The following is a 27,795-nucleotide window of genomic DNA, read 5'->3' as shown; positions in this document are numbered from 1 at the left end:
ACAAACCTAGACACATCCAGGACAAACTGGACATTTAATGATTTTAGCTAATAGTTCTTTTTATGTTGCTTTTAAAACAAAGAGATTTTATATTTGGGGGTGTGTTAGCCCTCCTGATATTTCTGTAGCAGCACAGAAATTCAGAAGGCTGTCATCCCTATTTTGAGTCTTCTGAACCACGTTTTATTTTCTAATTTGGAGTGACATTTTCCTTTTGTATTCAAAATGACTATTGTTGAATCCTGTTTAATCAGTTCCAAGACCATCTTATACATTATTAAGTAAGCTGTAATGGCTCTTTCTTTGGACTCCACTAGCCAGGTAATAACCAGGGGACAAATGAAAGCACAGAGGTGAAGCTGAGGCTTTTAATGTCCTTGCATAGTAATTGCATATTTGGCAAAGACTCATCCTGGATTATTTTCAGATTTAGAATATTGCTTTTATTTTCTATTGTGCAGTTACATTTGGACTATTAAAATTTAATGTTTATGACTCTTGATGTTCAAAACCAGTATAAATGAAAGTTAAATTTTAGGTCACCTATGTTCTCCCCACTCTTGTTTTAATAGAAAAAAGCTTGGCCAGACCACAAGCGGGAATGCAAATGCCTTAAAAGCTGCAAACCCAGATATCCTCCAGACTCCGTTCGACTTCTTGGCAGAGTTGTCTTCAAACTTGTGAGTATAAAACTCATGAAATATAGCTGGGTTTTGGTTAAATAAACATATGCAATTGCATTTTCCGGTATACCTCAGAGATGTTGCAGGTTCAGTTTCAGACTACCACAATAAAGCAAATATTGCAATAAAATGAGTCTCACAAATTTTTTGGCTTCCCAGTAAATATAAAAGTTATGTTTACATTATACCGTAGTCTATTAAGTGTTCAGTAGCATTATGCCAACAGAACAATGTACATACTTTAATTAAAAAATATATTTCTAAAACTGCTAAGGATCATTAGACCCTTCAGTGCATCATCATCTTTTCGCTGGTGGATGTTGATGGCTGCTGACTAATCAAGTGGTGGTTGCTGAACTTTGGGGTGGCTGTGGCAATTTCTTAAAATAAGACAACAGTCGAATTTGCCGCATTGATTGCCTCTTCCTTTCGCAAATGATTTCACTGTAACATATGATGCCTCACAGCTTCTTCACCAGGAGTAGGTTCCATCTCAAGAAACCACCTTCTTTGTTCATTCATAAGAAGCAACTCCTCATCTTTTCAAGTTTTATCATGAGATTGCAGAAAATCAGTTAATTTTTAATCAGTTAATTTATAATTCTTTAGGCTCTACTTCTCTCTGTTTTAAAAAAAGTTTTGCTTTTATTTTAGATTCAGGGGGTACATGTGCAGATTTGTTACATGGGTATATTGCATGATGCTGAGGTTTGGGGTATGATGGATCCCATCACCGAGGTAGTGAGCATGGTACCCAGTAGCTAGCTTTTCATCTCTTGCCCACTCCCTGCTTCTTACCTCCCCCTCGTATTCCCCAGTGTCTGCTATTCCCATCTTTGTGTCCATGTCCACCCAATATGTAGCTCTCAGTTGTGAGTAAAAACCTGTGGTATTTGGTTTTCTGTTTTTATGTTAATTCACTTAGGATAATGCCCTCCAACTGCATTCATGTTGCTCCAAAAGACATGATTTCACTCTTTTTAATGGTTGCATGGTATTTCATAGTGTTTATGTATCACATTTTCTTTATCCATTGTGCTGTTAATGGGCACCTAGATTGATTCCATGCCTTTGCTGTTGTGAATGGCACTGTGATGAGTGTATGAGTACATGTATCTTTTTGGTAGAGTGATTTATTTTCCTTTGGATATATACCCAACAGTGGGATTGCTGGGTTGAATGGTAACTCTTTGAGAAATCTCCAAACTGCTTTCCACAGTGGCTGAACTAGATTACATTCCCACTAACAGTAGATAAGTGTTCCCTTTTCTCTGCAGCCTCACCAGCATGTGTTTTTTTTTTATTTAATAATAGCCACTCTGACTGTTATGAGATGGTGTCTCATTGTGGTTTTGATTTGCATTTCTCTGATGATTAGTAACGTAGAGCATTTTTCCTATGTTTTTTGGCCACCTGTATGTTGTCTTTTGAGAAGTGTCTGTTCTTGTCCTTTGTGCACTTTTTATTTTCACTTTTTGAGACAGGGTCTCACTCTGTTGCCCCAGGCTGGAGTGCAGTAGCATGATCATGGCGCACTGCAGCCTCAACCTCTGGGGCTCAAGCAGTCCTCCTACCTCAGCTTCCCGAGTAGCTGGGACCACAGGTGCATGCCACCACGCCCCGCTAGTTTTTGTGTTTTTTCCTTTTTTTTTTGGAAAGACGAAGTTTCATCATGTTTCCCAGTCTGGTCTCAAACTCCTGGGCTCAAGAAATTCTCCCACCTAGGCCTCCCCAAGTGCTGGGATTATATAGGTGCGAGCCACTGTGGTGGCCCTTTGTCCAGTTTTTAATGAGGTTGTTTGTTTTTTACTTGTGAATTGCTTAAGTTCCTTATAGATTCTGGATATTAGACCTTTGTTGGCTGCATAGTTTGCGAATATTTTCTTCGATTCTGTAAGTTGTCTATTTACTCCATTGCAGGTTTCTTTTGCTGTGCAGATGCTCTTTATTTTAATTAGGTCCACTTGTCAATTTTGTTTTTGTTGCAGTTGCTTTTGAGGACTCATCATAAATTCTTTGCCAAGACTGATGTGTAGAAGGGTATTTCCTAGGTTTTCATCTTGATTCCAGCTCCTTCGTTCTTGCTATCACATCTACACTTACTTCCTCTACTGAAGTCTTGACCCCTCAGTGTTATCCATGAAGGTTGGAACCAAGTTCTTCTGAATCTTCTGAACTCCGGTTCATGTTGCTGTTTTGACCTCCCACTGGTAAAGCATAGGCAAAGTCGATTTACCACAAATAGTAAGGGCCCTGGCATTTTAGGAATGGTAAATGAACACTGGCTTCAACCTAAAGTCACCAGCTGCATTAGTCCCTAAAAAAAAGTCCACTTGTTCTTTGAAGCCAGGCATTGAATTCTCTCTAGCTATGAAAGTCCTAAGTGACATCTTCTTCCAATATAAGGCTGTTTCATCTACATTAAAAATCTGTTGTTTAGTGTAGCCAAATTCAATTATTTTAGTTAGGTCTCCTGGATCATTTGCTGTAGCTTCTATATCAGCACTTGCTGCTTCACCTTGCACTTTTTTAGATTTATGTATGTATGTATGTTTTGAGATGGAGTCTTGCTTTGTCACCCAGGCTGGGGTGCAGTGGCGTGAGCTTGGCTCACTGCAACCTCCGCCTCTTAGGCTCAAGCGATTGTCCTGCCTCAGCCTCCTCAGTAGCTGGGACTACAGGCGCCCACCACCATGGCCAGCTAAATTTTTTGTACTTTTAGTAGAGACAGGGTTTCACCATGTTGGCCAGGCTGGTCTCGAGCTCCTGACCTCAGGTGATCTGCCCGCCTTGGCCTTCCAAAGTGCTGAGATTGTGGGCGTAAGCCACCGCACCTGGCCACCTCGTGCTTTTATGTTATGGAGATGGCTTCTTTCCTTAAACCTTATGAACCAACCTCTGTTAACTTCCAGCTTCTCTTCTGCAATTTTCTCCCCTCTCTCAGCCTTCACAGAATTGAAGCAAGTTAGGGCTTTCCTCTGGATTAGGCTTTGGCTCAAGGGAATATTGTGGCTGTTTTGATCTTCTATATCCAGGCCACTCAGACTTTCTCTAGATTAGCAATAAGACTGTTGTGCTTTCTTATCACTCATGTGTTCATGGGAGTAGCTCTTTTCATTTTCTTTCAGAACTCTCCCTTGTGTTGACAACTTGGCTGTTTGGTGCAAGAGGCCTGACTTATGGTCTATATCAGCTTTCAATATTTCTTTCTCACTAAGCTTACTCATTTTTCTAGCTTTTGATTTAAAATGAGAGATGTGTGACTCGTCCTTTCACTTATAGGTCATTGTAAAGTTATTAATTGGCCTAATTTCAATATTGTTGTGTCAGAGAATACAGAGGCCTGAGGAGAGGGAAGAGATAGGGGAATAGCCAGGCAGTGGGAATAAGCCGGTCGGCGGAGCAGTGAGAACACGCACAACATTTATTGATTAAGTTTGTGGTCTTATATGGGGATGGTTTGTGGTACCCCAAAACAATTACAGTAGTAACATTAAAGATCTCTGATCACAGGCCACAGTAACAGATATAATAATAACCAAAAGTTTGAAATATTGTGAGAATTCCAAAATGTCACACATAGACACAAAGTGAACACGTGTTGTTAGAAAAATGGTATGGACAGACTTGTTCGATGATGTAAATCTTCAGTGCAATGTCTGCAAAGCACTATAAAGTGAAGTGTGATAAAATGAGGTATGCCTGTGTTATTCCTATTTAAGGCTGAAATTAACCCCATGTTAATGTAGAAGGTAGATTATTCCAGGGAGTGTCTTAGACAAAAAAATTTGTTCTTTTCCTATTAATCATGGAATCTGTAGCAGTGAAGAAATACACAGTCTCTCTTTGAAGGCCCTGCTATCTTCTTGTGGGAATAAAGATGGAGGAGGTTCTATCTCTGAGGTATGAGATGGTAGTAATCTCTGTTACATTGCCTTTATAACTTGGGTATTGTAAACTAATGCACAGGGCGAGCATGTCATTTTCTACTTTCCTCTTCAAGGAAGATACACATACATAATTAGTATTGACTGGAAGAGTACTTATCTTATTTCCTAAAATTCACTGAAGTGATTTCTTCGGCCCTTTTTCATAAGTGGCAAAACAGTAAACTCTGTGAAATCTTGCTGTGGTGAAGCCTTTTAGATTTTTTTACCCATCTTTAGTGTGAATATCTTTCTCAAATTATTGTAGGCTCCCGATTTGTCCTTCTCCTTTTTTTCTTTTTTGAGACAGGGACTTGCTCTGTTACCCAGGCTGGAGTATAGTAGCACAATCATAGCTCATTGCAAGCTTGAACTGCTGGGCTCAAGTGATTCTCCCTCCTCGGCCTGCTGAGTAGCTGGGACTACAGGTGCATGCCACCATGCCTGGCTAATTTTTGTATGTTTTTTAGGCATAGGGTTTCGCCATGTTGCCCAGGCTGGCCTTGAACTCCTGGGCTAAAGCAATCTGCCTGCCTCGGCCTCCCAAAGTATCGGGGATTATAGGTGTGAGCTACCATGCCCCACCTTTTCCTATTGTTTACTGACTCTTTTGGCCGGTACACGATTTTATAGAGGGTTTTATGAATATAAAAATATGGGAACTTTTTGTACAAGAGTTTTGCATTTGGAGATTAAACTGTTGAGTGAAGATACAAGTTAGATTTTTATTTTAAAGTTGTTGATTAATTCAGTCTAATGAGAGTGATGAATAGAAAGAATATATAGAAAATGTTCTTTTTGATGGACTTTCATTTAAATATACAAAGGTACTCAAACTTATTTGTTTATATATTGGAACACTTGAAATTGTTATTGGCGTTTTCCCCTTTTCCTTCACAGATGGATGGAGCACCTTCAGAATCAGAGAAGCTTTACTCATTTTATGATCTGGAGTCAAGTAAGTGATTGTCTATCAGCATCTTAAAAAAGTTTCTATAATTTGTTTGCTGAGTTGGTGAATGGATTTATTTTTAACTATGTTTTTCTGTTTCTTTATAATGTGATGCAAACCTAACAAAATTTATTTTTATATACAACTGTCACACTGGTTTATTTCACTTATTCCAGGGTAGCTTCGTCCTGATAAGGGTTAGTAAAGCGCCATGAAGATGTTCAGGTTACATGGGGTAGTGTAACCATTAGTCCAGTTGACAAAATCATTTTTCTTCTTTTTTTCTTCCCTGTTTCCCTTCTTCTGTCTCTTGGTTTCCTGTTCTGTTTTCTTTTTGATGTCAGAGAAGAGTGATTAGTGAACAGGGGGATTCCACAGAGCTTTTAGGGTTACTGATCTTTTAGACATTAAGGAAGGTAGAAGGAACAGATGACTCAGTCTCTGTGGCAGTGTGAAGCATCATTCTTCTCTGAAACTACCATGTAGGTAGCCACCTTCTTGTGATGACTTAAAAAGCTTCCCATATCTGAGTGCTAAGCAAAGGTAGGTTTCGTTTTGATTTTGTATTGGCGCAGATCCTTTTCGTTAAGGTTGTAAGTGATTTCAACTCAAAACTAGCCAGGGCACATACAGTAAATTTGCTGCACAGTTTAATACTTCTGGATGGAGACAAGAAGATGATCTAGTACAGATTTATATAAGGTTGTGGGATCTGAAGTTCCCATGGTAATAAATTATTATTTAAGAAAAGCAATGGCAACAAAAGCAAAAATTGACAAATGGGATCTGATTAAACTAAAGAGCTTCTGCACAGCAAAAGAAACTACCATCAGAGTGAACAGGCAACCTACAAAATGGGAGAAAATTTTTGCAACCTACTCATCTGACAAAGGGCTAATATCCAGAATCTACAATGAACTCAAACAAATTAACAAGAAAAAAACAAACAACCCCATCAAAAAGTGGGCGAAGGACATGAACAGACACTTCTCAAAAGAAGACATTTATGCAGCCAAAAAACACATGAAAAAATGCTCACAATCACTGGCCATCAGAGAAATGCAAATCAAAACCACAGTGAGATACCATCTCACACCAGATAGAATGGCAATCATTAAAAAGTCAGGAAACAACAGGTGCTGGAGAGGATGTGGAGAAATAGGAACACTTTTACACTGTTGGTGGGACTGTAAACTAGTTCACCCATTGTGGAAGTCAGTGTGGCAATTCCTCAGGGATCTAGAACTAGAAATACCATTTGACCCAGCCATCCCATTACTGGGTATATACCCAAAGGACTATAAATCATGCTGCTATAGAGACACATGCACACGTATGTTTATTGTGGCACTATTCACAATAGCAAAGACTTGGAACCAAGCCAAATGTCCAACAATGATAGACTGGATTAAGAAAATATGGCACATATACACCATGGAATACTATGCATCCATAAAAAATGATGAGTTCATGTCCTTTGTAGGGACATGGATGAAATTGGAAATCATCATTCTCAGTAAACTATTGCAAGGACAAAAAACCAAACACCGCATATTCTCACTCGTAGGTGGGAATTGAACAATGAGAACACATGGACACAGGAAGGGGAACAGCACACTCTGGGGACTGTTGTGGGGTGGGGGGAGTGGGGAGGGATAGCATTAGTATATATATCTAATGCTAAGTGACGAGTTAATGGGTGCAGCACACCAGCATGGCACATGTATACATATGTAACTAACCTGCACATTGTGCACATGTACCCTAAAACTTAAAATATAATAATAATAAAAGAAAAAATAAATAAAATAAAAAAACATATATTTACCATCAAAAAAAAATTAACAAGCATATAAAATAGAAAAAAAAAGAAATCATTGGGTTATTCTGTTGAATAAGTAATCTAAAGGATATGCATAGACATAAGCAACAGAGTTATGCTGTAGTTCAACTTGATGTATCTTTTCAAGTTTTAAAAGACAGCAAAGTATTCAAATTTTCTTGTTATATTACTGCTAGGTAAATAACATCTGTTACCATGGGTTTTACTCTTCACATTAGCCCTACTCAGTACTAGTGTCATACACATGACCTTAAGTGAAATGCTCTCACATGTTATTAATTGACCTGTTGTATCCTTTCAGCCTTAACACCCCATTTGTGGTATGATTGAAAATGATATTTAAGGGGGTAGTATTGGCGTTAGAACTTTTCTTCTTCTTTTGTTTTAGAACCATCTCCTTCTGTTTGGGTTGATGCCACATCATATCTTGTTTTTTGTCTTTGTTTTTTGGAGATGGAGTCTCTCTTTTTGTCCAGGCTGGAGTGCAGTGGCGCGATGTTGGCTCACTGCAACCGCCACCTCCTGGGTTCAAGTGATTCTCCTGCCTCAGCCTCCCGAGTAGCTGGGATTACAGGCGCACACCACCACGCCCTGCTGATTTTTATATTTTTAGTAGAGATGGGGTTCCACCATGTTGGCCAGGCTGCTCTCGAACTACTGACCTCAAGTGATCTGCCCGTCTTGGCCTCCCAAAGTGTTGGGGTTACAGGCGTGAGTCACGGCGCCAGGCTCCTTTATCTTGTTTATTCAACTCAGATAACTTGAAGTTGAAATTGCTGTGCTTGATCCCTGTTCTATTCATGATGTACTAGCCATATGACAAATTTAACCTATTTGAACTTTATCTGAACTTTTTAGTTCTTATTTTCTGTCTTTTTGCCTTAGAGGTGATGCTGTTTATTAGTTTAGTCATGACCTAGTTGTAAATTATTTCATGGAAAAGTCTGCTTAAGTTTACTGACTTAATAAGAACTGATAATTGTTTGTATGTGTGTACAGAATGATGTAGAAAATCTGGTAACACACAATCTCAGTGATTTTGGTTTTAATGCTTTTTCATATATGTGCGTACTTATGTTTTGATAGGTGTTTGATCTTACATTGCAGACAAAATTTGGCAGAATTTAATTGATAACATATGCATCATATTTAGTTGTCAAAAGATAAAACAATATGTATTTGCTCTTTGTCAAAATCCAATGTAAGGTAGGAAATATCTGGTTTAACAGCCAGCATTGAACACTTGAAAATTATCCTTCAGAAGTTTACTTTGAGATTGTGCTATTTATTTTCTCTTTAAAAAAGATATTAACAAACTGACTGAAGATAAGAAAGAGGGCCTCAGGCAACTCGTAATGACATTTCAACATTTCATGAGAGAAGAAATACAGGATGCCTCTCAGCTGCCACCTGCCTTTGACCTTTTTGAAGCCTTTGCAAAAGTAAGTGTTAAGTTTGCTCTTTGCTAATTCCATACATCAACCATTTGCTCCTTATTTTGTTGTTAGTTACAAAAATGTCGAGAATCTTGACAGGAAATTCAAGACCCTTAATGCCTTATATTACTTCCTTATCATAGTGAGTAGAGCATGAGAGAATGTATTGTGTGCATTGAGAAGGGTATGAATTTTTCTGTTTGATTAATATTCTTGTTATTGCCTGAGTATGTTCATTGTGAATTCTCAAAGTGTACCCTTGGAAGAAAGAGTATGCTTTCTTTTCTCAGAAGAAAATAGCATATCCCATTATTTTTTGTGAATGGACTTGTTTGCCGTTGCATTGCATTCATTGAGTTTTATGGTGGTTGTTTAAGCATAGAGCCTGTCTTTGAAATGAAAAATTTATTGAAATCCATTTCTTTTCTTTTCTTTTTTGTTTTTAGACAGAGTCTCGTTCTGTCACCCAGGCTTGAGTGTAGTGGTGCGATCTCGGCTCACTGCAATCTCCGCCTCCCAGAATCAAGCGAGTCTCATGCCTCAGCATTCTGAGTAGCTGGGATTACAGGCATGAGCCACCACGCCCAGCTAAATTTTGTTTTTTTTTTTTTGTTTTTGTAGAGACGGATGGTCTTGAACTCCTGACCTCAGGTGATCCACCCGCCTCGGCCTCCCAAAGTGCTGGGATTACAGGCGCGAACTGCCACGCCCGGCCTCCTGAAGTATTTTTTTTTTTTTTAAATGATTCCGAGGGTTTATCTTGGCCTAGGGAGGAAGAGTGCGATGATTGATTTTTTTTTTTCTTCACTAGCCCATAGGCATGAAATGATTGCTTCTTGATATTTACCCTGGGATAGGGATGACAGAAACACCCCCTCACTGCTATGGATCTGCTGTCCTCGCTTTCTCACATTGTGTGTTTGCATTTGTTTTAATGTTGATCACAATTTAATAACAAGTAAAACTTTACTTTTGACAATTTTGCCACTTATTTTGTAATTTGTAAGCACACGTTTGAAGATATATTTATGCCATTAATATTTTAAGGCATGTTTTAAAATTTACTGTTTTCTGAAAAATTAAATGTAATTGGTTTGATTGCTGGAGATTTATTCCAGTTTTTCTCAAATGTATTTTTATTCTGTATGGTACATTTTTATGATTTTCTGATTAATGTCATCTTAGCATTATATTCTGGTTATCTATAATTTAAAATTGATTTCAAAATTTACTGATTTCTTACAGTGCATCTGAAAACTTTCTCATCTATTTCATATGCTTCTGAAAATTATAACCTGTAGTAGTATCGTGTGCCGTGCCCAAGGCTGTTTTCATGTTCAACACTATAAACACGAACACCTACTGAAAGATAAAAATATACCTTATGATGATTATTACCTCATTCCTAGTGTTAAGTTTGTGGCTATTCTGTGGTAATTATTTCTATTGTTGGAAAATGTTCCAGTGATAATTACTGATGTTATTAATATCCATGAAAAATATTTTAAAATACTTTCTGTTGCTACATGTAAAATGTGAATTACTATCCTAGTTCTTCTTTCTTTCTGAAGATTTTAGTCTCATGTATTTTATAATGAAATTATCTCCATGTTGTATAGGGGGAAAATTCTGTTGCTATGATTAAGTGTACCAATTTTTAATATAATGCTTACCCTTCTCCCCACATAATATTTGTTATTGCTAGAAAATACACAGTTTTGAGATTTTTGGGCATAATTGGCCTTAGTGTGTCACTTCTGCATTAAAATATAGGTTAATAATCAGATGAAAGCAGCCAATAACCTATGGCTTCTGTACTTTCTGGTGAAAGTTTTGTTAATGTTTTTAATTTGTATTTTTCTGCTTATAAATTTGTCCTTAAATCACTCCCCTCCTTCCCGCCCCCCCAACTCCTTCTCCCTCCTTCCCGCCCCCCCGACTCCTTCTCCCTCCTTCCCGCCCCCCGACTCCTTCTCCCTCCTTCCCGCCCCCCGACTCCTTTTCCCTCCTTCCCGCCCCCCCGACTCCTTTTCCCTCCTTCCCGCCCCCCCGACTCCTTCTCCCTCCTTCCCGCCCCCGCGACTCCTTCTCCCTCCTTCCCGCCCCCCGACTCCTTCTCCCTCCTTCCCGCCCCCGCGACTCCTTCTCCCTCCTTCCTGCCCCCCGACTCCTTCTCCCTCCTTCCCGCTCCCCCGACTCCTTCTCCCTCCTTCCCGCCCCCTGACTCCTTCTCCTTCCTTGTTCATGAAAGATCCTAAATTAACCTAAATAGATCCTGCAGCTTTCAGGGATGAGTCACTGAGCCCAGAATGTTGACGGTGTGTGATGGTGCAAGTCACATCAAGCACACGGGAACTGGGTGAAGATCCCTGGGCAGAGATTTTTATCCCAGTCTACTGCTCCTCTCCTCATTTTACTCTGGTATAAAATTAATTAATCAAAGAGAAGAAACGGGCACCATAAAAAAATAACATAAAACAGGATTTTGTTTATTGAGGCCAGGTAAAGCCAGCCTTCTTCACAGCGAAAATTCAAAAGTCAGTTCATTAGGCTGTGGAAAGCGGGTCAACATGCAACTATCCCTGACTGACAGTTTGTACATACAGAGGAAGCTGCTGACTTCTGAATTTACGCTGTCAACAAGGCTGGCTATACCTGGCCTCAATAAACAAGATCTTGTTTTTTGTTTTTCTTTTGGTTCCTCTCATTTACATTCATTCAGGTTCTGTGCAGATAATAGACATACTAAGCTTATGTTTTAGCCCATCTTTTTTTTTTTTTTTTTTTTTTGAGATGGAGTTTTCGCTCTTGTCGCCCAGGCTAGGGTGCAGTGGCGCAACATCGGCTCACTGCAACCTCCGCCTCCCGGGTTCAAGCGATTCTGCTGCCTCAGCCTCCCAAGGAGCTGGGATTACAGGCGCCTGCCACCACACCTGGCCAATTTTTGTATTTTTAGTAGAGACAACGTTGCACCACGTTGGCCAGGCTGGTCTCAATCTCCTGACCTCGGATGATCCGCCCGCCTTGGCCTCCCAACGTGCTGGGATTACAGACGTGAGCTACCGCACCCGGCCAGTTTTAGACCATCTAATTTTCATTGAAAGGCATATGGAATTCTGAGAGCTTTTCTAAAATTGCTTATGTCTTAATTTTTTTGACTTTTAAATTATGGACATTTTCAAACACACACAAAAATAGAGGGACTAGTAGAATGAATCTTCATGTTTCTATCAGCTGGTTTCCCTAATTTTCAGACTCATTTTATATCTGTCATTTTTAATACTTACAGTTCACACAGATGTTCTTTCTCTTCGGAGTTTTAAACCTTCATTAGAATTAGTCTTTTCTTACCAAGTCTCTTGCCCTGCTGAGAGGTGTTTGTTAGTTGAATCTGAATTTGCTTAGCAAGTACAGCAGACTTTTATTTATTTATTTGCAGGTCTAGTGTGTACAAAATACTCTTGACACAGGGTTGTAGAAGTATGTGGCTAATTCTAAATCTCAAAATTATCTATCAAGGCAGAAAACTTCAGCAGGTCAAAAGTCTTACTTGAAGAATATGCATATCTTTATCAAACTTGCACTTCCCCTGAAAGGAAAGGGCTCAGGGAGGATGAGAAAGTTCTTAATCCCGAGAGCATATTTCGTCGTCTGGTGAGCTGATGGCTTTTTCTAATGGAAGCTCATGATTATTGCCTGAAAAGTTGGCAGTTTGTATTTTGAACACTGGAGTTTCTGGCGGAAAAATGGTGTGTCTTTCCTGTCGGACCGGGTTCTCAATGCTGAACGTGCATCTGCTGCGTAAGCCTTAATTTTACCTGGAAAATTTCTTCTGTTACTTGTAATTTTCCCGGTCATATTCCCAGATATTCCTCCTTTTCACCCCACTTCTTAGCACCAGTGTTAGTCTGACTCTGACTCTTAGCACCAGTGTTAATACACACACACCCTAATAGCAATTGGAGTTTGATTGTGGAGTTTTCTATATAGATATATCCTGTCCACTTATGAATTTGTTGCCTGGCTGTAAAAACTGAGTAACATGAGCCATAGGAAGGAGGAATTTTTCTAGGGGTGGGTGTCAAGGAGGACCTCATATCAGAAGTGGAAACTGACGTAAATTTCAAAAGCGAGGCTGGTGTTGGGAAACAGTGATATACAGTGGTCTAGAAATGCTGTTGGGGAGTGAGGGTGTTGATTCCTCCAACCTCCTGAGGGAAATATATCAACCTCCTCCGGAGAAGGTTTTCAAAGGAAGTTGTTACCTGTGGAATACAGATTTCAGTTATATTTAGTAATTACAGTAGAGTTAGAATAAGAGCTTGATGTTTAAAATGTTTGTTTTGCACTAAATGTAATAGAAAGTGAGGGTAGGGATACTCCCAGAATTTCTCTAGAGGAGGGGATGCTGAGTGATAATCTGTTGGATGGAGAGGCTAGAGCAAATTACTTGCAGCTTTATTTGGATAGTTTTGTTTTTTTTAAAAAACTTAGATTGTATGTTCCCTGGGGAGTGTGTGGCTGAACGGAGATAAAAGTGTAAAGTGTGAGCAATGAAAGGTGTTAATTTCCACAGACAGCAATGAAGGTGTTGAAAGGATAGGAAGTGCACCGGGGATATACAGATGAACACAGGAGATGTGATTATTTATATGCATATAAAAAATAAAGGCCAATTTCATCTCTGCTGGCTCTTTTTCACATTGTTTAGAGAAGAGAAGATGTATGTCTCCATCTCTACAAGCTGTTTCTCCTCTCTACCACACACTTTTTTTTTTTTTTAAATCTCCACTTCCATTTTCAAACAAAATTTCCTTTGAGATTTTTTTCCCCCTCTTTGGGAATAGGGTCTCACCCTGTTGCCCAGGCTGGAGTGCAGTAGCGTGATCTCGGCTCACTGCACCTCTGCCTCCTGGCTTTCAAGTTGAGTCTTGTGCCTCAGCCTCCTGAGTAGCTGGGATTACAGGCATGCGCCACCACACCGGGCTAATTTTTGTATTTTTAGTAGAGATGGGCTTTTGTCATGTTGGCCAGGCTGGTCTCAAACTCTTGACCTCAAGTGATCCACCCACCTTGGCCTCTCAAAGTGCTGGGATTACTGGTGTGAGCCACCCCACCCAGCACCTGTTAGATTTTGAAATGGATTTATTGGTCAGGCACAATGGCTCACTCCTATAGTCCTAGCACTTTGGTATGCCGAGGCAGGAGGATCACTTGAGCCCAGGAGTTTGAGATCAGCCTGGGCAACATAGCGAGATGCCATCTTTACAAAAAAACTTAAAAAAAAAATTAGCTGAGAGCAGGGTGGTACACACCTGTAGTTCCAGCTACTTGGGAGGCTGAGGTGGGAGGATTGCTTGAGCCTAGGAAGTCGAGGCTGCAGTGAGCTGTGATCTCACCACTGCACTCCAGCCTGGACTACAAAGTGAGACCCTGTCTCAAAAAAATTTATCATGGCATGACAAATGCTGTGATTCGGTGTACTGATTGGGTCCGAAACATTTGCTACAAATATAGAAAATGTATATACTCCTAAGCATAAATATATCCTTCGAAACTCAGAAAATTACAATTAGCTACTCGGTGTGCTGAGATGGGAGGATTGCTTGAGCCCCGGAGTTTGAGACTGCAGAGAACCATGAGTGCTGCTTGGGGGACGGAGTGAGACCCCAACTCAAAACAAACAAAAATTACAGTTAGAGAGAGGCCAAATTTAAATGGGAGGCTGAATAATATGATGGTTAGGTCATTTTCCTCAGTCAAGTAAATAAAATTCTCTCCATCTCAATTTTCTTATCTGTAAATGGAAATACTAATATCTACTTCATAGATTTCAAGGAGGATCAACTATAACGTACTTAGTAGTGTCTGACACATATTATTAATTTCTACTACTGTTGCTCCCACCTCTCAGCTTTATTTTTATTGGATTATAGAACTTTGGTGTTTTAAATCTCCCTGTGCTGTCATCTAGCCAAGAGCGCAGTCTGCCACTGTTTGTAAACTAGAGTCTCAGATGGTTGCTCACAGTTGTGCCCAGTGCTGGTGTCTCTTGAGATCCTGAGAATTACCTGTTTTGTTGAGAAGAAATTTTGCAAACAGGCAATGGTGTCTTTTCTTGAGGCTTAGTTTCAGTCATAGCCATTGTGGACAGAAATCATGTACTGTTGCCAACATTCTTAGAAACTCCATGGTATCAAAGTAGTTTCTTGGAATTTCACGTGGGAAATGTAAAAGTAGGCTTCCCTTGATGATGGAAATCTTTCTCACACATGCATCTTAAAAGGATGGAATTAAGCGTGCTTCAGTTGTCATGTTCTAATTAATTGAAACGCCATGGAATGTATTGTATTTCTCTATTCTATCCCTTAAAATGTCCATTGATAATTATTGGCAATGGTTATTGATAGTCTCAACGTAATTTCAGTAGAATTTGTTTTGAGATTTTTTTTATGCACATAAAAGATTTCTTTAGGGATTATTGTACAGAGTTCTAGAAAAATATATAATTTTTTTTTCTGGGCTTATAACTTTCTTTTCTAAAAATTTATTTGGCAGCCTGATTAGAAATGTGGTAAAATCTGAACAATAAAATAGAAAATAGACTAGTTGCATAGAATGTTTCAAAAACAGGCATTAGATTGGCGGCAACAAGAATAAAAGTGACCTTCCTGACCACAGAACATATGCCATTGTTAGTGTTTCCGGAGCTCTGCAAAGTACTGCTGAACTTTATAATGTTGTGCAACTGCCACAGAATTTTTTTGATTAGAAATTCCACATCTGTTTGAGAAGATGTTCTCTCCTTCTTTCTTTCAAATTAATAATTCTCCTGGTAGCATGTTATTTTTGTTCTTTAGGGCACGTATGTGACCTCCGGAGCTTGCTTTTCCAAAATCTAATTTTTAATTATATTAGCTGTAGCTGGTTTTGCAATATGTACTGGTTGCATAGATTGGAAAGTGAGTATTTTAGAGGGTGTTTTTGGTACTATGATATTTAAATTTTACAGTTTCATTCTGAGTAAATTATTTTTTATTGGAGGATTCTTTTTTTTTTAAATTGGAGAAGCTGTGAAGGTGTTAAAACGAGAATCTTACCAATTCACAATACGATAAGAAATCGCGATTTAATATTTTGTGGTATGTTAGAAATAAAGCAAGAGAAAATCGTGATACTATATTCAAGATTACATGCTTGTGTTTGGCCGGTATGTGCCTTTACATTTAGAGTGATCATAAATAATGGATGTGATATTCTGCTATAACCTCCCTCATAATTTTAGTGAAGTATATAAATCAGCATGGAGGGAAAATTACTAAATGACTTTTTTGTGTATCCTTTTCATCCTCTGGTGAACAGTGTACCTCAATAAAAAGCGAGAACAAAGTTGATCATGTTATATTCAGCTTTTAAGCTTAAATTTTCAGTTCTGTTAACCATCTCATTCTGGATACACTGGTGCTCTGTTACTTCATTGTTGTTGGTGGGCTAATTTGTGGGAAGAGTATTACCTCTGTTGTTTTGAAAGGTCAGGAGTGTGTATATGTTTGTCACTTGAGGGTTTCAAGTTCATGTAGGACCAGATTTTAGAGCCTTTTTTGTTGATGAGCTCTGTTGGGTTTCACTGCTGTAGCCTGCTATAAGGTAGTAAAGAAAGCAATCTTTTGAATTAATAAAGTGATGGATTATCTAATTACAAAGTTGATGTGAAATGGCAGTATGATAACTTTGACTGCATTACTAAATGATCCCAGTGACTGATCAGATGTGCCTGGGTTCCATTAAGGAAAAATATGCCATTAAATATTTAACACTAAAAGCGAGCAGGCACACCAGGATTGCTAACCTCCAGTCACCGGGGTGCTTGTGTGTTTACGTGTGGTGGTGACTGCTACATGCCACATCTCTCTACTCTGCTCACAACAGCTGCTAGAATACTTAGCTGTTGGGATTATACTTCTCTTCTGGTGTTAAGTAAAGCAGGCAAACAGCTAGGATGCTTAACTGCATGCAGATCCTGGCATTCTAATTATGAAACGGTGTCATGCATCTATGATTTATATATGTTGTCTTTATTACAACAGATTGAATCTCGAAGTTGATTCAGGAGACAATTATTCTCAGAAATATTTCTCTACCTTCAAATAAAGTGATGTTTGTAGGACACTTGGGCTTTCAAAGAAAACAACTCATTGTTTGGATTTTTAATGATGATATTTGTTTATCGTGTTCTTCATTCGTAGCCATTTGGTTAAATATTTCTTTTCACTTATGTGTTAATAACCTATGATGAGTTGGTGTATATTTATCATAGTTAAAAACCAGATGCCAGCTAAACTTCTGAAGTTGGGAAGGATAATTAGTAAGTTCTTAATCAGCATTTTTGTTTATACCCGTGTTGGTCAAGGTTAATTGCTTATGTAAGGCTAATGCTTTGCTTGAAAGTATTGATGGATAAATGTGTTTGTCAAGCCTTGTTGCTTTATCTATTTAAGTGTATAACTTGCCATTAATGCAGACAGAGGTGATATTTTTTAAATGTCTGTATGACATTATGAAATGGCAAAGGTTACTGTCATTGCTTTGGCTTTTCCTTTAGTGACAACAATCTACTGGAATACTGTGTCTCTCTACTAGAATGCAATTACGTGGAGCCAGGAATTACATCTTATTTATTTTGAATTCCTAGCAACCTTCATTGTATGCAGGAGGTCTTTAATTTTTGACGGATTGAAGGAATGTGAGAAAACAGTATCCCTTTTCCGTTTTGTGGAGCACACTTTGATAAATGTTTTTATATTTTATTTCATTTCATTAAAAAATTATTTTTAAAGACAGGATCTTGCTCTGTCACCCAGGCTAGAGTGCAGTCATGTGATCATAGCTCACTGCAGCCTTGAACTCCTAGGCTTAAGTGATTCCCCTGCCCAGCTGGGACTACAAGTGTGTGCCACCATGCCTTGCTAATATTTTGCTTTACTTTTGTAGAGACAAGGTCTTGCTATGTTGCCCAGGCTGGTCTTGAAGTCCTGGGCTCAAGTGATTCTCCTACCTTGGCCTCCCAGAGGGCTAGGATGACAGACATGAGCCACTACAGCTGGCCCAGATAATGTATTTTTAAAAATTAATACATAATATAAATATATGAGACTTGACAAAAAGAAACACTAATATCATGATAAGATTCAAGAAATCTAGTAATTACTTGATAGCTCTGACTCATAGAGACTGCCATTATACTAAGTTCTTCAAGGAATGATGAATAACTATATTAATTATTCCAGGTTTGAAGAACATTTTTCTCTAAAAGCTCACATTGTAAATATTTAGGCTTTCCAGGCAGGAGACAAAAGTGAGTCACAACTGCCTCATGACAATTTGTAGTGTGTAAAGAGAGTGCTACTTATGGTCTCTGTGGTAGCTGCTTCTTTAAAAAAATTATTTTAAATTGGCAAATAAAAATTATATATATCATGTACAACATGATTTTTTGAAATACGTATATATTGTGGAGTGGCTAAATGGAGCAAATTAACATATGCATTACCTCACATGCTTATCGTGGCAACTCAACTCTGCCATTGTAGCCTGAAAGGCCCCGTGTACAATACGTGAATGAATGGGTGTGGCTGTATACCAAAGAAACATTGACACTGAACACTGATTTTTCATGTAATTTTCACATATTCAAAAATACTCTTTCTATTTCTCCCCAACCATTTAAAAATGTAAGAAAACATCCTTAGCTTGCAGACTGAGCAGGTGGTGGGCCAGATTTGGCCTCTGGGCCTTTATTTGCCAACCCCTGAATTAACATTTGTAAGCTGGAAGGTTTTTTGCACACAATTGGAAATAGGATGTGCTGGGAGAAAATTCTCTACTTAAAAAAGGATCGGAAATACTTTGTTATTTTCTAAAAAGCCATTGGTTCTGTCGGTTTACATTGCTGGTCACATTTCTGAGCACAGTACACACACAGTAATTGTTTTTTGAGTCAATTTTTGTTTTACTCTAAAGCCAATTTAATTCAATAATTTAAAAATGTTTTATCTCAATGGTATAGTAAGAAAACTGCAATTATTTTACTAAAGAGAGAAAGAAATTATAAAATAGAAAAAGCAGGGACTTTATTGTCTTAATATTTTAAACTGTCATTCTTAGCTGTTTCCTTTTTTTTTAAATTTTTATTTTATTTATTTATTTATTTTTTGAGTAGGAGTCTCACTTTGTCACCAGGCTGGAGTGTAGTGGCGTGATCACAGCTCACTGCAACCTCCACCTCCCAGGTTCAAGCGATTCTCCTGCCTCAGCCTCCCGAGTATCTGGGACTACAGGCCGCACACCACCACGCCCAGCTAATTTTTATATTTTTAGTTGAGATGGGGTTTCACCATGTTGGCCAGGATGGTCTTGATCTCTTGACCTTGTGATCCGCTCGCCTCGGCCTCCCAAAGTGCTGGGATTACAGGCATGAGCCACCGTGCCTGGCCTTTAATTTTTAATTTTTTAAAAGACAGGGTCTTGGCCAGCCACGGTGGCTCACGCCTGTAATCCCAGCACTTTGGGAGGCCAAGGTGGGTGGATCACCTGAGGTCAGGAGTTCAAGACCATCCTGGGCAACATGGTGAAACTCCGTCTCTACAAAAAAAAAAAAAAAAAAAACCAAAACAACAAAAATTAGCTGGGCGTGGTGGCTCATGCCTGTAATCCCAGCTACTCAGAATGCTGAGGCATGAGACTCCCTTGAACCTGGGAGGGGGAGGTTGCAGCGAGCTGAGATTGTGCCATTGCACTCCAGCCTGGGCGACAAGAGTGAAACTCTCTCAAAAAAAAAAAAAAAAACCCATGAAGACAGGGTCTTAGTATGTTGCCCAGGCTGACCTCAAACTCCTGGGCTCAAGCAATCTTCCTGCCTCAGTCTCCTGAGTAGCTGAGACTACAGACATGTGCTATCATGCTTTTGGTTCTTAATTAAAGGTGTTATATTTTGTTATTTTGTTTTGAAATGAAACATAAAGATAAAATTTTCTATTAGAAATATTGTGGTTATGTAACTCAGGTTCAAAGTTTTTGTTTGATTTTTCTTAGATTGTGGATTATTGCCCTCAAACTTTAAATTATGATTTGGCTGTTTCTATTGCAAATAAGAAGGACCTTTCATGGGAGGAAAAAACAAATATGTTTTAGAGATATAATATTAAGAGTGATGAAAAACTGTGATAAACTGCTCTATTAAATTTTGTAATAGGCAGAAACAGAGTGTTTTTTTTAGGGGCAAAAATCAGACATTGCCATTTGATGTGGAAAATAAGATGACTTGGTATATCATAAAGGTAAGCAGGCGAGTTTGGGGATGGCTTCGCCAAACCAGATTCTTTTAAAGCATCTTAATCAAAGAGGAAGAGTCTTCCTTCTATCTTCAAAAGTTGATTTTCATTACAGTTTCTGTGTTTAGTACCTAATGTTACATGTTTAAAGAGACATATTCAAATAAATGTCTATTTACAAAGCATGATGAAGAAAGGACAAAAATACTGTTTTATTATCTAGAAGAGCTTTATAACCAGAGCGTTCCAACAACGTATCAGCGTGTCCTGGTACAGCTGGAAGCTACTTCTTCCTGGAAGAGTTTCACTGAGGATTAGAATTACGTGTCAGGATGGGTTGTCTCTATAAGGTAGGCCTAGATGATATGTAAACTGCTCTTTGAATTTGTGAGTTTGTGATATTTCTGGTGCATCATGGAAGGGTGTAGTTTATCTTCCCTCGCCCTCTCTATTGAGGTCCTGCTTATTCTTAAGGTTTCTACTCAGATCTTTGGTGAAATCTACTTGGTTAGGATTGAGCTTTCCCTTTTGTAAAATCAGTAGTCACTGTTATTTTCTATGCCAAGCATTTGACAACTGTGACTATCCCCTACTTTCTAAGTTGTCTGTCCTTTTTTCTTAGGTTCCCACTTAGACTATAAATTTCATGAAAATAGGTCATGTGTCCCCATTTTCTTCCTTAAGCAAAATAAAATTATACAACTTTAGGGCTGAAGAGATCACAGAAACTCTCTGATACCATAGCCTTCCCATTTTTTCTCCTCTCCCTTTCTCCAGAATACATCAGTTGTGGCTTAGAGAGGGGGAAGTAGTCACCCAGTGACAGGAAGAAAGCTAGAACTGAAGTCTTCTGAGTTCTGTCTAATGCCCTTTCTGTTAGTTGATGCCCAAGTGCTCAAGAACTTAGCTGCTAAGTTGAAGTGAAAATGTGATACAGCAAACAGAAGTTAAATTACAGACAACCTTTCAGCAATATCTGTTTCTTATATTGAAGCCTATCTGTGTAAAGGCAGAAAATTAAAAATAAGTTACAGAATAGTATCGTTCGACATTTGAAACTAGATTAGCTTGTCTAATGATGAGTTTCAATTCAGAGATTCTGTATGTCCGTGTTTAAATGATTTTGGCTTCCCAAACCAGCTGTCTGCCTTCCCTTCAGATAACTCAGTTATAAACAGAACTGCTGTATTACATATTTGAGTATGTGGATTTGTCTTGTATTTCCCATTTTTTGGCCCATACTTTCCAGGAAGCAAATGAGTATTAGACACTGGTACCTGTCTTACATCAACAGATCAAGGGACAATTGGCGGATTGATCACAAGTTTCCTAGTGCCGCACTCCTTTGTTTTAATTTTTTATTCTACCAAGTACTTTAATGTGTACTTTCACATTATCTTCTATAGTAGCCCTCTGAGTTATGGGTATCGTGCCTTTGTAGATGAGAAAGTGCGTAAGGTCACACTATATTTAAGTAAAAGAGACAGAGCTTTAACATGGCTTTCTTCATTCCAGAGTTCTTATTTTCTGCATTCCACCATACTGCATTCTGTGTTATATTAGTTCTCTGTTAGAGCCCTAATTATGGACCATTATAAGCCTTAGCAAAATCCAGAATGATGGAAATAAGAATATTTGATAATATTCTCTAATACTAAAGTATTGCTCTAGGCAAAACTGTAAATTATTTAATCAGGATTTCTGCTATTTTTATCCAGGTGGTACATCATGCCTTACATACCTCTGTCCTTCATATATTCAAATCTAAATAAATGCTGGTAGTTTGAGTGGGAGGAGGGTGGATTATTCATGTCAAATGATTCTGTGCTGATGTTGCCACAACTGTATGTGAAAATAAAGATAATTGACATGGAATTTGCATGGAGTTAAGGTACCTTTTGAAATCTGCATTCTACAATCTTTTAGTACTGCATATTAAAACATTAATTATTCAGGAGCCCTCCAGATTGAGTCTTTATCATTTTCAAGCCATTATTGGGTGTGCTTTTCCCTATGATTCTATAGATACATGCATTTATAGATTTAAACATTTTCTATGCTATAAACTATATATGCAGTGTATAAGAAAATACTCTTTGGCCTTATTAACACCTCTTTTTCTTTTAGTGATATTTATTTGACCTTAACATTTATACTTGATATTAATGACATAGGCAAATAATTTTAAAATGTTGTTTTTGAATAAATACTTGTCAAGTAAAAGAAAAGCATTAGAGCTACATGTGACCAGACTTGGCAGTCATGGGCGCTATTTCAAGTTTTGATTGACATTTGGTTTTCGTTTTGATGCTTATAGGAAAAATTTATCAAGACACTGTTTATGCAGAGCTGTTTAATTAGGATCACCTGAATTAGGATCAGAATTAAAAATATCCTTAATAGAATTTCCTTTCCTTCCCCGATGGGTGGCAGCATTTTCTTCAGCCAATACAGCATCTGCAGAGGCGTGTGTGACTTGCTGGTTGGTGTCCTAGGGTCTGTTTTTCCTCCTTCACAATCATTCAGTGGCTGTGGGTCTTTCAGGTTAGAGCAGAAGTTGGTAAGGTATATTGTTTGGGGGCCTCAAAAGTCTTCTGTAATAAGAAGTGACTATACTGTGGGTTTTCTTGTTTCCCATTTGGCCAAGATTTTATGGAACAATACCCACTTTGCCCAGGTGCAGTGGCTCACACATGTAATCCCAGTCCTTTGGGAGGCCGAGGTGGGCAGATCGCTTGAGCTCAGGAGTTGGAGACCAGCCTGGGCAACATGACAAAACCCATCTCTACAAAAAATACAAAAATTGTGGTGGCTCATGCCTGTGGTCCCAGCTACTTGGGAGGCTGAGGTGGGAGGATCGCTCGAGCCTGGGAGGTAGAGGTTGCAGTGAGCCGAGAACGTGCCACTGCATTGCAGCCTGGGTAATAGAGCGAGACTCGGTCTCAAAAAAACGAAAAACAAACAAACCAAAACCAACAATACCCACTTAAATCTCAAGGTATGCAGATTTGAGGTGTGATAGTGTTTAACCTTCGGAAGTCTTTTAACCTGCTCATCATTGTCCTTCTGCCTGTCTCACCAGTTTGTTTTAAAAGTTATTTGCTGATTTGTCTCTGGTTACCTGTTGAATGACAATATGGTGCTGCCATGGCTTTACTTGCCTGCCTGTGTTTCTGAGCTCATCCCATATTTTCTATATACCAACAAAAATCTTCATCTATGTGACCTGGTTTTACTTCAGATTCGTCGTGTGCAGTGCCTAAACTCTGCCTTTTCTTCCGCACAGCATACTGCTTCTCCACCTTTGCTGTCTTCTCTCTTGACGTTGCAATCTCCTGAGCCAGCCGTGCCAGGAATATCAGGAATACCTCTGATTCTTCCCCCAAACTTCTGTATGCCCTGCTTATGCTGCTTTTAAAGATCTCTTGACTCTATTGTTTTATTTTTATATTGTTTTGTCACTGTCCCAGTTATTATTAAAATCCTTCCGATCTCACCTAAATGGCCTCTAACTCATATCCTTGCCTCTCACTGTTTCCCTGAGTCTCAATTCATTTTTATATTTTGCCATTAGAGATAATTGAAAAAAAACCCAGATTTGATCATTTAATCTCTTGCAAAAAGATGTCTGTTGATTCCCTACTGCCTTTGTATGAAATCAAGGCTTTTAAGTATGGCATTTGAGGACCCTGCAAGCTTCATCTCATGCCACGTTCCTGGAGCTGGCTGACTGCTTGCATAGACTGCAAGCAGCTTGAGGGTCGTAACCATTTTCCTAGCACCTGGTGTAGTGACAAGTAGATTGCGGAGATTCAGTGAGTGTATGCTTTTCCTCCATGGCTTGCATTATGCTTTCAGTCCTTCCCATTGTTGCATTGCCTTTATGCCTCCATTCCTTCACGTTGCATTGTCACTTACATTACGTTTTAGCTCCTTCCCATTGTTGCATTGCCAGTGTGTTTCTTCAAGCCACCAAAGCTTGACGATGCCTGCCGCACTGTTGCTATGACATTAGCAAACTAATGTCCATAGGGTATTTCTCTAGATATAGATGTCTGTAGGGTATTTTTCTAGATAGGGAATTATTTTTGAAAGGCTGGGTATTTTTGAACCAATTCGTAAAGCTGCTCATATACACGAAGGAGGGTCATGAAAGCAAATGACAATTCAGCAAGGCCTAGTTATGGCTGGGGTGTGTGTGCGTGTGTGTGCGCGCGTGCGCGTGTGTGTATGCGTGTCACGCGTGTGCGTGTGCGTGTGAGTGTTCAAGGAGGGTGGTTCCTAAGGCTAATGAGCTTCTACCTGTAAGTTATTCTGATTTGGTAGAAATGTAGCTTTGAATAATAATCATTAGCAGTAGCTGAGTGGGCTTGTGCTTTGTCAACACTGCTGAGTTTGATAATTAGATGATTACAAGGATGTGATGACATTTTGTAAATCCTTTCCTGGAGATATCTATATGAGTTTGCTAATCATTATGGCAGGCTTCTAGCTTTTCTTTAGAGCAATGATGATGCTACAAAGATTTTTTTTGTGCTGAAAATATTTTCCTTGTATCAGTAAGATTTGGATGATATTTGTCACTTTCTGCCACCTCAGAGTCAGCAAGGAGAATCTTGCAAAGTATTTAGCATTTTGTGGAAACAAGACATTATGTTCTGTATAGTTAAAAATTATCTTTTAGTTTATTGGAGTGGAAGGGCATTTTCTCCATGACAAGGAAGGTTTAAACTTGCATCATCTTGGTATTTAAAAGTTCTTTTGAAAACAACTCATGTTTTCAATTACAAAATAATATAGAGCTCTCAGTCAGTGTGATCATTCTATAGAGTGTGATCATTCCATAGGTCACATATTTACTAACAGTCTTCAGTATTAGTTGAGTAGGCTCTTTAAAGCCTTACTGTTAGGCCAGGTGTGGTGGGTCACGCCTGTAATCCCAGCACTTTGGGAGGCCGAGGTGGGTGGATCACGAGGTCAGGAGTTCGAGACCAGCCTGGCCAACATGGTGAAACCCCGTCTCTACTAAAAATACAAAAGTCAGCCAGGCGTGGTGGCACATGCCTGTAGACCCAGCTACTCGGGAGACTGAGACAGGAGAATTGCTTGAACTTGGGAGGCAGAGGTTGCAGTGAGCCAAGATCGCGCCACTGCACTCCAGCCTGGGTGACAGAGGTAGACTCCCTCTCAGAAAAAAAAAAAAAAAAAAAAAAAAGCCTTACTCTTTGTCCTTTCCCCTAAAACTCAGGATTCCTTTTCTTCTTCCAAGCTTTGCTCGTACAGTTTCTTCAGCTCTGCCTGGCAAATTTCGTTTAAACATGGTGCCTTTTCTAGGAAACCTTTCACAACTCTCTTAGACATGTCCATTAGGACAGGAATGGGAAAGCAGAAGTGTAAAATATAAGTGGGTAAGAGAAAGGGCAGCAACTTCCATTATTTTGCTCCTCCAGTTAGGTGCTAGTATCTTAAGCTGGCCATTTCATCACTAATGGGAAGAGCTAAAAGCTCCAGTCCATCAGGATTGAATGGCTGCTGAAAATGAATGTCAGTGTCTCACCTCCAGACATTTTGGAGCTCTTTTCTTCCAGTCTATTCGTGTCATTCTCTCTTTTCAGGTAGACTTGCCTCCGATTTCTCTTGTCCTCTATGAAGAATCAAAGGATTAATGGTTTCTGAAAAAAGCAGGTCTTGTTCATTGGAGCTGCCAAGTTACTAATTACTTCTAATTATCTTTATAGCAAAATGATAAACATAGAATTCAGTGCTGTATTGTACAGCAAATTTTTTTCCTGAAAACATTGCTTATAATGTTTATAAATAATATACCAGGTTATATTAACTAGGAAAATTTAGAGTTTAACAGGGTTCTATTATGAACCTTTTTGTGGAAGAAGATTTATTTTGGCAAGCTCATTGCTCTGTCTTAAAAACCTAGATTTCCTCATGTAGTGTCTGGTATTCCATAAAGTAAAGCTCATTTGCAGTCAGTTAAATCTTTTTCTTTTTTCTTTTGCAGAGACAAATCATTTTTTAAATGGAGTTCACCAGATTCTTAGGGCCTATTTGAACTTATATTTCTAGAATTGGGTGGGATCTGCCTTTCTAAATTATAATTCATAGGAAGAGTGCTATGGAATTGGCTAGTAAAGACTCTTGGCCGTGAAGGCAATGTCTCAGCAAGTGGCTTCCTCTTTTCTAAAACCTCATTAGTGTCCTTGGGAGCATTTCATTGATAAATACCTATCCCACAGTCCAGCTTGCTTTTTTCTGAATGTAATTTCAAAGCCCGGTAACTTCAGTAGATTTTTTTGATTGACCACAGTAGACACAGAGTATGAGAAACAAAATAGAATCCTCAAACTTTCTACCTGGTAAACAGAGGAAGTAAGGATAGTGTTTTCAGGGGCATTCATTTTCAGGCAGCCATTCAGTTCTGACATGTTTGATGTATTGGAGTTTTTGGTTATTCTATTCCTGTTTGTGGTGAACTCTCTAGTTCACTATACCTTCGTCTGGCTGGAGGAGTATGATAATCCAAGTGCCTGCTTTTATTTTCTTGTCTGCATGTATTTTATATTTCTGTTTTCCCATCCATGGCATAATGTGATCATGTATTTTGATAAATGCATTGTTTTGCTAGAATTGTAGCCTAGTCTGTGAAATGAAAATTAAATGAGAATTAAACTTTTTTTTAACAATTAAGCTTTTTTTAACTTTTTTTTAGTATTGCTAGTATTAAACTTTTTTTCACAATTAAAAAATACATATTGGTTTTGGAGGCACCTTTGATGTTCTACTAATTATATTAATACAGAACGGATGCTTCTTAAAAACTTTTAGTGCAAATAAGCTTTTAAAATCTTAGTATCTTAGGCACATAAGTAATTTTCATTTTTTAGATGGATAATAAAATCTTACTATCTTAGGCACATAAGTAATTTTACATTTTTTAGATGGATAATAAAATCTTACTATCTTAGGCCTGTGAGTCATTTTACATTTTTTAGATGGATACTAGTTTAGGTGCCCATTTTGATGTTGTTTTTAAAAATACTGACCTTACAGTCCTTTCCATCTTTATTTTTGAGTGACAGCAGAATCCCGAGTATAAGAAAATGTGATTAATTCTCCCATATTGAAGTCATTTAATCATGCTTTGCCTAACAGCTGCTTTCTATTCAGTACACTGAACATAAAATTCTGGAGTGCCTTTGTGCTATCATAAATTGTAAATGTGAACCATTCTTCCTCTTAAGTATCATATGGTATTGCTGTTTTGAATTTGTCAGTTTGGTAGGGGGTTTTTCTAGAGATTGCTGTTGTAGTCGGCTAGGAGGGCCTTCTTCTGGGACGAAACTCTCTCCCTCATTCTCTATATCACTGTGATATTTAGTATTATATTATTATAATATTTAGTATTATTTGTTTGCAGTAAAGAAGTGGGGGAAAATTGGTTTGACTTGTCATCCTTTTATTTCTATGGCATATTGAAAAAGTGGACAAATAGGGCCAAAACAAAGCAGTGGGATTCTTACTTGGCTCTTTTAGGTCAGAAAGAACCAGTTTAATAAATTTCAGTTCAACAAATTTGTACTGACTCTATTCACAGCACCATGTGGAGAAAT

At 38.5% G+C, this 27,795-nt stretch overlaps 1 protein-coding gene and 1 long non-coding RNA gene across 9 annotated transcripts in view, besides 3 other annotated features; both read left to right on the top strand.

The window, feature by feature from the left end:
- The window catches only part of SMYD3 (SET and MYND domain containing 3), a 757,933-nt gene that overhangs the window by 171,233 nt on the left and 558,905 nt on the right, over nt 1–27,795 (top strand). For all 8 annotated transcript variants that reach the window (NM_001375962.1, NM_001167740.2, XM_047428020.1 and 5 more), the window contains 3 exons: nt 573–680; nt 5,510–5,567; nt 8,710–8,846. In NM_001375962.1, coding sequence (NP_001362891.1) covers nt 573–680; nt 5,510–5,567; nt 8,710–8,846 — 303 coding nt within the window. The remainder of the gene's footprint in view (nt 1–572; nt 681–5,509; nt 5,568–8,709; nt 8,847–27,795) is intronic.
- Nucleotides 2,190–2,239: a silencer, noted in NCBI's record as "silent region_2031". NCBI's record gives its function as "represses an Ori minimal core promoter by ATAC-STARR-seq in GM12878 lymphoblastoid cells {active_cell/tissue: GM12878}" and the evidence as "EXISTENCE:reporter gene assay evidence [ECO:0000049][PMID:35858748]".
- Nucleotides 5,812–5,971: an enhancer, noted in NCBI's record as "active region_2853". NCBI's record gives its function as "activates an Ori minimal core promoter by ATAC-STARR-seq in GM12878 lymphoblastoid cells {active_cell/tissue: GM12878}" and the evidence as "EXISTENCE:reporter gene assay evidence [ECO:0000049][PMID:35858748]".
- Nucleotides 11,252–11,772: an enhancer, noted in NCBI's record as "H3K4me1 hESC enhancer chr1:246487577-246488097 (GRCh37/hg19 assembly coordinates)". NCBI's record gives its function as "activates a minimal SCP1, AML or CMV promoter by ChIP-STARR-seq in primed H9 embryonic stem cells {active_cell/tissue: H9 hESC(primed)}" and the evidence as "EXISTENCE:reporter gene assay evidence [ECO:0000049][PMID:30033119]".
- On the top strand, nt 13,609–18,910 carry SMYD3-IT1 (SMYD3 intronic transcript 1). Its single transcript, NR_189283.1, has 2 exons — nt 13,609–13,763; nt 14,179–18,910. It is a non-coding gene; the product is annotated as an SMYD3 intronic transcript 1 (long non-coding RNA).

Source organism: Homo sapiens, chromosome 1 (genome assembly GCF_000001405.40).
Source record: "Homo sapiens chromosome 1, GRCh38.p14 Primary Assembly".
NCBI classification, from domain to species: domain Eukaryota; kingdom Metazoa; phylum Chordata; class Mammalia; order Primates; family Hominidae; genus Homo; species Homo sapiens.
This window is presented reverse-complemented; position numbering and strand designations above follow the sequence as displayed.